This window comes from Homo sapiens, chromosome 17, assembly GCF_000001405.40.
Source record: "Homo sapiens chromosome 17, GRCh38.p14 Primary Assembly".
In the NCBI taxonomy this organism is placed as follows: domain Eukaryota; kingdom Metazoa; phylum Chordata; class Mammalia; order Primates; family Hominidae; genus Homo; species Homo sapiens.
Window position 1 is genome coordinate 70,041,139 of NC_000017.11, and position 9,668 is coordinate 70,050,806.

General features: G+C 36.4%; 1 long non-coding RNA gene across 1 annotated transcript in view; it reads right to left on the reverse strand.

Annotated features, from left to right (window-relative positions):
* Positions 1 to 9,668, reverse strand: part of LOC105371881 (uncharacterized) — a 78,916-nt gene that overhangs the window by 45,247 nt on the left and 24,001 nt on the right. The gene's annotated exons all lie outside the window — the stretch shown is intronic.

Genomic DNA, 9,668 nt, shown 5'->3' on the forward strand with positions numbered 1-9,668 from the left:
GGGTAAGTGGAGAGTGGGTAGGGAGAGCCATCAGAAAGAGCAAAGGTGTTGAGCAGTATTACTTGAGACCTGTTTGAGGAATCATGAGCAAAGCTGCTTAGCTGGTTCCAAGGGTTTGAAAAATAGCCTGAGAGGTTAAAAGCAGGGGCCAGTGAATCACCCACATTCTGCATGCAGACTAAAGTTTGATTGATAGAGACAGGCAGTAGAAAATCATTGAATACTTGGGGAAAGAATTGTGTAAATAATAAGTGATGTAAAGTATTGTTTCCAATTTTTCAACAGGGCTTACTATGAATAAGAGAAAGTAAAGCCTGCTCCTGAATTTAAACCTGGGTTTATGGGTTTCTTCACGTCCGTTCATATCTTTGAAACAGCGCTTTTTCATCATGATCATTTCTATGCCCGTGAAAAGTACTGCAACATCTGCGTGCAGTTGTTTTTCCTCAATAATAATGTCCGACGATAGACGTAAATAGTCCTTTTGACTAGAGCTGTTTTCTGGAATGGCTCCAATACTAAGAAGGGAAAAATGCAAAAGCTAAAGAATTAGATAGCTCTTAGATTGTGTTGTTCTCTCTGAGAAGATAAAACTGAAACCCCTATTAGAAAGGCAGGATTACGGAGAGATTATGATATGTGAAAATTACAATAGGCCACAGGAAAGTGTGGTGGAAGACTTATAAGCATCTACTGCAAAGGAAGACATTGTTCTTTCTGATTAGGAAGGTCATAACCTGATCTGGAGGTTTCTTCCTTTGATGCTGAGAGAAGGAATCCTAAGAATAATAAGAAGCCAATGTATTGCAATAACTATTTTATGGATTACTCTGAGGTCCAAAATTCCTAGAAAAGATGATTGTTTTCTTTGAAAAGCAAGAATCTGCTTTTGTGCTTCCCAGAGAAGATCGTTTAGAAAAAGGAGTTGGTTATTTATTGTTCACTTTCATGATTCTAAAGAGAGGTGACCTCAGTGATTGAAACAGAAGACAAAAATAATTTTGAGCTGTCTCTTGGCTTTTCATTTTTCAAGGGCTTCAAATATATTATTTGGCTATTACAAAATTTATGAAGCCTCCTGACAAACTCGAACCCTTTCCCCCCATTTATTGGAATCACTCTGCCCTGAAAATTTGGATCCTGAATCTATTTCTGCTCCTGTACTCAGATCTTTGAGCACAGCCAGAGAAAATTTTACAAATGTGTGGCTTGGTGCCTTTAAAAAGTATAGGCCCTACTTCAACTGCTCATTCAGTATCATTGGGCAATTAGGGCAATGATTTGCTTGTCTTCAATGAGTTCTTCTATTCTCATAGAAGCTCTGGCAAGCTATTTGTCTCAAGCCCTTTGTAGAGAGGCCCACCCTCATGCCCAGGAGGATGAACTCTCGCATGGCTTCCTCATACTCTCCCTAGTCCTGTTTCTGCTCTCCTATAAATATTTAGGTATACAAATACATCTTTTTTCTCTCTCTCTTAAAGAAAGAAGTGTTTCTTTTTGGGATGACAGCAATCCTTCCAGTTGTACTCTTGATCCTACATTGCATACCCTCTGTTTTTCTTTAAGACCTTGCCCCAACAATGACCCCCTTTTTCTCCATATCTTCAGCCTTTCCTTCTCTACTGGCTCCTTCCTTTCAGTTATAAACATGAACAAACTTCTGCAATTCCAAACAAACCCTCCTTTGACCTTGCATCTCCTTCCAGCTACTACCTATCACTCTTCTGCCCTCCACAGCTTTGAAAAAAATGAAAACTGAGGATGTTTTTATTGCAAAGGAAAACATGCTCATTATATAAAGTTAAGAAATAGAATAGTCATAGAAGAGAGAGATACAGGAATAGAGAGAAGAAGTTGGAAGGCACAACCATATATTAATAACTAGAGATGATCATTGTTACCAACTTTTATATATTTCTAGGATACCTCTATGCATAAAGGTACTTTGGAATCATAAAATGGATCTATACTGTTCACGTTATTTTATAATATAAATATTTCATTTTTAATATTTTGAAGATAGTTCAGTTACATTGCATTTCAATCTACAATGCCATTGCTAGTGGCTAAATTGTATTCCATGGTGTAGCTGAATAATATTTTGAAGTATTAACTAATGTGTTTCCTCCTGTACTCCCTCCCTGACACCATCTCCTACCCTTGCACCTGCTCATCACTACCTCCTTCTCAGTCTCTCCATATATACCAGACTTAATATTCTTAACCTAAATGTGTTACTGAAGAAGCATGGGTAGCATTTTAAAAAGACACTTTCATAACTCAAAGTAGAGGAACTAGAGATAATAGAAAGGAAATGTTGAGTTTATGAGTATTTCAGGAATCTGGTGTTGAAAATTTTATGCTATAACTGTGAGTAGTGTTCATGGTCACCATAACTAGGATCTTTTTTTTTTTTTTTTTTTTTTTTTTTTTGGTGTGAGACAGAGTTTCACTTTTTTTGCCTAGGCTGGTGTGCAATGGCGTGATCACAGCTCACCACAACCTCCGCCTCCCGGGTTCAAGCGATTCTCCTGCCTCAGCCTCCTGAGTAGCTGGGATTACAGGCATGCGTCACCATACCCGGCTAATTTTGTATTTTTTTTAGTAGAGACGGGGTTCCTCCGTGTTGGTCAGGCTGGCCTCAAACTCCCTACCCCAAGTGATCTGCCTGCCTCGGCCTCCCAAAGTGCTGGAATTACAGGCGTGAGCCACCGCGCCCGCCCATAACTAGGATCTTATAAGCAAGGGATGAGAGTTGGAAATAAGTAGGCTTGTGTTATGCCCCTTTCATACTAAACCTAGGGGGTAGGGAAGATAATCTCTAAATGATATGATCTGAGAATAGAGAGCAATTGGGCTTGGCATTCCCAAATTTCCAACACCGCCATAATAAGAGTTGAGCAGCAATAAAAGTGAGGCAGAGAGAGTCTGGTGCAGTCCCAGGACGTCTGTGGCTGCAGACTGCTCTGGGAGAAGGGTCACACTATTCTATGCTTTTGTAAGGGATGTGGGTGTAAGATGAACAAAAATGTATTGGCCAAAATGAAGGGAACCTGAGCCAAGGGCACATCACATGAGAAATCTGCAGTGGCAGCATTCAGGACCAGACAAGCATGTGGACATCTCAATAACGAAGGGAAAAGAGACAACCACAGCCAAGAGTAAGGCTGAATAATAAACCCATGGATCATATACCCACAGATGCCAACCAATGACCAGTTGCCTTATCCTTCTCCTCTCTCTCTCTCCCATCACCCTATTTTACTGAAGAATTCAGTAACTTAGAAATGACTGCACGGGTGAGGAAGGGGAATTTCCAGAATGGATTGCTTTCTTATTGTAAAAGAAAAAAATTGGGTTGAAAAAATAAAGCAACTTCTTTGTATACCTGAGTAGAAGCTTACAAGAATTATATCGGCTTCACTAATAAGGGTGTACTTTATTTAACCAATCTCCTATTTTTGAAATTGTTTTGCTTCCAATCAGTCATTATAAAAAGCAATGCACAGTCAAGCATCTTTATTCATTCTCTCAATTGTCAGACTTCAGTTAGTTCTTCAACCAGGAGCAACCTGTTTCTTATTCTTTCTTTTCCAGCAAAACAAGCCTTATGAAGCAGCCAATAAACTTCATCTTGCCAAACCCAATGGACTCACCACAATCTCTATAGAGTTGACATTGATTCTTTATTGGACATGGAGGCATATTCCCTTCTTCTGAAATTCTCACCTCTCTTGAGTTTCTCAATATGATTGTTTCCTTTATTTACTCTACTTCTCTGAATTGTATTTCCTGGTTTCCTTCTCCACTTTCATTTTTCTCCAAAACCCACTTGGGTTAACATCCACCATGGTTCCCTTTTCTTCTCAGTATTTATGTTTTTTATGTGAGATCTCAGTCAATATCCCATGTTTAACTATCTCGTAAATATGGTCATTCCTAAATCTTTATTTCCTACCTGAAATTTTCACCAATTTTCTTATTAGTGGTATCTTATGGATATTAATTCATCTATCCATCTATCCAGACATCTATTTATTTATTTAACATTTTTTTCATACCGACAGAATGCTTGCCACTATTCTAGGCACTTGTCATACAACAATAACAAACAGACAATAATATCTGTACTCAGAGATTTTATACTCTAGTTTGGCTCAACAGACAATAAACAAACAGTAGGGGGAAATAATATTTTTCAGTCAACAACTCTAAAACCAGCTCATTATCTTCCTCTTTTACACCTGTGATTTCTCCCTTAACAGCAATAGCCGTAAGTGGTATAATTATCTATCAATCAGCTTTTTCATGCTAGCATGATCAGAATCAACCTCAATTCCTCTTTCCACTTTTATAAGTATTCAAAGGCAGTATTGTCTAGTGGTTAAGAGTCTGAGCTATCCCATTCCACAGACCTTGGTTCAAATTTTGTCACTACAAGTTATGTGATTTTCATCTAGTTAATCTCTTTAAGCCTGTTATGGTGTCAAAAAAATCCTACCTGACAGGATTGTATGAGTGTAAATGAGATAATATATGATTATTATCCCTGTCTCATATTTAGTACTCAATGAATGGTAGATATTGTTCTTTTATTATCATCATTTATCCAATTGACCATTGTGTCTTGCAGATTCTATTTTCTAAATCTGCACTGTCCAAAATGGCAGTCACTAACGTGGTGATTGAGCATTTGAAACGTGGCTAGCCAAAATTGAGATAACACTCTAAGTTTAAACTATACACTGGATTTTAGTTTAAACTATACACTGGATTTTAGTTTAAACTATACACTGGATTTTAGTTTAAACTATACGCTGGATTTTAGTTTAAACTATACGCTGGATTTTAGTTTAAAGTATACACTGGATTTTAGTTTAAACTATACACTGGATTTTAGTTTAAACTATACGCTGGATTTTGGTTTAAACTATACACTGGATTTTAGTTAAAAGTATACACTGGATTTTTGAAAAATTAGCACCTAAAAAGAATGTACAATATCTCACAGAAGATTTTTGTATCAATTACATGTTAAGATGACAATATTTTATGTCTATTAGGTTAAATAAAATGCTTTATTAAAATTAATTGCATACACTTTGTTTTACTTTCTCAATGTGGTTAATAGCAAATTAAAACTTACATATGTGGCTTTCGTTAGAATTCTATTGGCCACTGCTATTCTAAATATTTCATATAATTGCTCTTCTGCTCATTACAATAATAAGCTTTATCATCTCTCTTCTCTCTTATTGCCGTGACATCCTACCAGCCTCTGCCCCTGATTCTCCTCTGAACTTTTAATCCATCCTCTCCAGTGTTGCCTGATTGATACTTCTAAAATGTTAGAAAAAAAATGTAATCAGCTTTCCACTACCTGGAGGATAAATCCAGTCTCCTTATCTCGGCACATAGAGCTCTTTGCGATCCTGCATTTCATATACCTCCAGGCTTTCTTTGAAGCCTCTCACAGTTCCCACAGAATCTGGCTACTCGGAGCCATTTTGTGCTTTATGCTTTTTCACATGGTTTCTCTCTACCTGAAATGACCTCTCTTACCCTGACTACCCAAAGAATTCTTCTTTTGTCCTCAAGAACCACCTTAAGTTACCTGTGTAAACTTTTCCCCACCTCTCCTCTTAGCTTTTGGTTATACAGCCAAGTTTTCACTTATTGTCCTCATTTTCCTGTTCTGTTACTTGTTATCTCTCTCTGGACTTTGAATTTCCTAACAAATAAGGTTGTAATTTCTTACTTTCTGGATTTGCCATACACGTATTTGTAGCACATTAAGTACAGAAAAAACATTTAAAGGAAGGATAGACCGTATGCTTATTTAAAAAAAAAAACAAGTAAATAAACCATAAGTTAAACATTCAGTATTGTTCATATCCAATCACCTAAACAAATAAAATGTAATATCTGTTCCCAAATATGATGGCTATATTTTGTATTATTACAGAAATAGTTGAATTCAGAGCCAATTTTGATTTCTTGTTTCCTAGTTCAGTTAATAGGAAGCAATTGTGAATAATACAGGCACCTCCTGAAAGAGGCAATTCTTTAATAGAAATTCTAGTTTGACTTCTTTACTGTTTGGTACAATACTATTTTCTCCAATTTTTAAAAAGTAATTAATAATTAATTATTGTTATTGAAAGTTTTGCTGTTGTTTCTACTATGGAGCTACTATGACAACTACATTAGCAATTCTGTTAAGGTACTGGTGCATAGTATTTGAAAGTTTGCAAGCCATAGAGCCAGGCGTGGTGGCCAGTGCCTATAATCCCAGCTAATTGAGAGGCTAAGGAGTTGGGAGGATTGCACGAGCCCAAGAATTCAAGACCAGCCTGGGCAACATAGCAAGATCCTGTCTTATATTAAAAAAGAAAAAAAAAGGAAGTTTGCAAGTCTTTTTATCTTCAAAGTATTGTCTGCATTGAATTGTCTCCCGTCTGACAGAAACCTGGCCTGGGAATTACCCCTTTCCCTTCCCATTGGGTGAACACTGAAACTAGTATCAGGTGCTAATGATTTCTGAACCAGACAAAAACAACTTAGAGAAGTGAACACAGATCCCTGTCCTGTCAGCTCCTTCCTGCTGATTTATTAGCTGGAAGGCATTGTTTGTTTTAAAAGGTGGAGCAACTAGGGACGGTCTACCGTCATCTTTGTAATTTCTTAAGATCCCAAAAACAGACATAGTGGTACAGTGACCTAATTTTCCAGGCAATGGTTACCCAATAGGTCAGTCAGCTAATTTCAGAATTTGATGCACCACGAAAAAGGATGGTCATTGGATCAAGAAGTCAGCTGGGCAAAAAAGTCGTCCTTAATAAAATAAATGACATCATATTGGCAGTAGCTTTGCTGGCCTTTGGATATTTAAATTTCATAAGTTATCACAGATGAATGTTTGTGCAGTACTGGTTGTGTAGAGGCAAAAAGATATGATACACATTGTCAGAAGTGTTAGTACTAAGAAAAAAATTACCAAAAAAGATATTTGAGCTTAAGTGAGTTTACAGTCATAATATAAACCCACTACCTTGTAAAATTGGCTATTGTGAAATACCAATGTTTTTGTACCACACCTATTGGCATCATTATCACGAAGTAATCATTGTGTTAATAGATCAGAATAAATAGGTTTCTATTTCATTTAAGGTTACAAGTTTCACATTTGATCCTTGCCATTAAACTTTTTTTAAAAAAATAAAAAAATATAACTGGCTGGCTACAACAGGGATCAGCAAAATTTTTCTGTAGAGGTCCAGATAATAAATAATTTAGTCTTTGCAAGCTATACAATCTCTGCAGCAACTAGTCAACTCTCACCTTGAATCATGAAAGCAACCATAGACCATATATAAATGAAAGAACAGGGCTGTGTTTGTATAAAACTTTATTCACAAAAGCAGGTAAAAATAGATAAATATTCAATGGTCTGGACTTTGGCCCACAGACCATAGTTTGCCAACCTCTCTGCTATAGTATAAGTGTAATGTACTCAACTATTTTCTTATTGCTGGGGATTTAGATGATTCCCAAAATTTCTCTATTCTAATAAAAAATTTCAACAAACATCTCTATGGTTAAGACTTCGTCTGCATTTCCAAAACTATCCTTAGAATAGTTTCCTAGAAGTGGAATTTCTAGGTCAAAAGCTATAAATATTTTTAAGCCTTTTAATTCTTTTGCCACTTGGGCATGTAAATTGGTGTGTCATTTCTGGAAAGCAGTTTGGCAATGCCTAAGTAATCCCTCCCTAAGATCTCACTTGTTCTAAGTACAATCATTTGTAAAGGAAAACAAGTAAACAAAAATGCTGCATGAATTTTACGGTTTTTTAAAAAAAGATATCTCAATGTATTAGGTTTGCGTGCACATGACAGGTTACAAAAATTCAACATTTTTTACATTTATTTTCCTTTCGTATTTCTATTTTAATATTTTTATTTCTATCTTGGCCCATTTGTCTGTTTTTTCTCTCATCATTTTATCTTTTCCTCTCCAATTTTATTTCCACCGTACATATTTTAGATGGTAAAAATTTAAGAGCACAATTTCTAGAATCAGACGGTCCAGGTTCACACCGTAATTCTTCCACTTTCTGGCTGTGTGACCTTTCGCAAGTTACTAAAACTCCCTGTGCCTCAACTTCCACATTGCTAAAATGGAGTCACTAAGAGTATCTACATCACGTTCTTGCTTTGAGAACCCAATGAGAATAGCATATAAAGAAATCACTTTACACATTACCTAGCACACAGAAAATGTTCAATAAATACTACCTATGAGAATGGTAGTGAAGGTACATTTCCGTCATCGCTTAAATGGTCACTACCTATCTGGTGATCAAATACACTTTTACCTCTATTTTATTTGAACTTTATTATGGTTTAATTTGAAAAATTTCTTTGGATGTTATTTTGGTGTATAGTATAGAGACAGTGTCTAAACTGGTTTATTTTCTAAATAGCTAGTCAATTACTGGATGGACATGGTAGCTCATGCCTGTAATCCTAGCACTTTGGGAAGCCAAGGCAGTTGGATTGCCTGAGCTCAAGTGTTCAAGACCGGCTTGGGCAACATGGCGAAACTCTGTCTCTATAAAAATACAAAAAATTAGCCGGGCATGGTCGCATGTGCTTGTAATCCCAGCTTCTCCAGAGGCTGAGGCGCTAGAATTGCTTGAACAATCTGGGAGGTGGAGGTTGCAGTGAGTCAAGATCACACCACTGCACTCTGGCCTGGGCAACAAAGGGAGACTCTTGTCTCAAAAAAAAAACCAATAATAATAATTAATAGCTAGGCAACTACTGCAATAATTGTTATTGAATATACATTCCTTTCTCATTAGTGGGCACTGTGATCTTTATCAAATATTTTCCTATTCCACTTTTTAGAATTTGCTTCAGGGAAACCTAGTCTTAGAGGTATCTGCCGGTATAATCTGGCTTCTTCATCATTGACTTATTTGTTATGACTTTATAATACTTTAGCACCCAATAATTCAACTCACTTGCATGACTCTAATTCCCCATGTTTTTCTTAGACATCCTAATAGATTTATTCTTTTATTTGAATTTTGCAGTCATGTTGTCAATTTCCCATACTTAAATTTGGTTACTTAATTTTGGATTACTGTTACTTAAACTTGGATCAGAAGTGAATGACACTTACGAAATAACCTGAGAGTTGACATGTGTAATAATGAGCATTCTTCACATCCCCTGGGACATAATGTGCATCTGCATTTTTCTGATTCTTTTTTCTATTTTTCAATAAATTTTTGTGGTTTTCTACACCACTAAAAGAACTAGTAATACATAGAGGTGCTCAATGCTAATGCTGGGTGGATAATGCAGCATTGCTGGAGGGATTAAAGGCAAATTACCTCTTAGCCTTTGAAGGTTCTTCTAAGTAGAGGGATCTGTTGCTTAATTCACATTTTAATGCATTTAATAGCTCTAAAAATATTTTATCTGGACCTCCTATTTGCCAGACATTCTAATAGGTTCTATGAAGGATTTAGACAAAGACTCAGCCATAGGTCCTATCATCGAGATTCTTCCAGTCTGTGAGGAGGCACAAACCTGCATAAATGTAATTACATTATAATATTGCAGGTGTAAAATAAAAGTATGTTAAGAGCAAAGAGT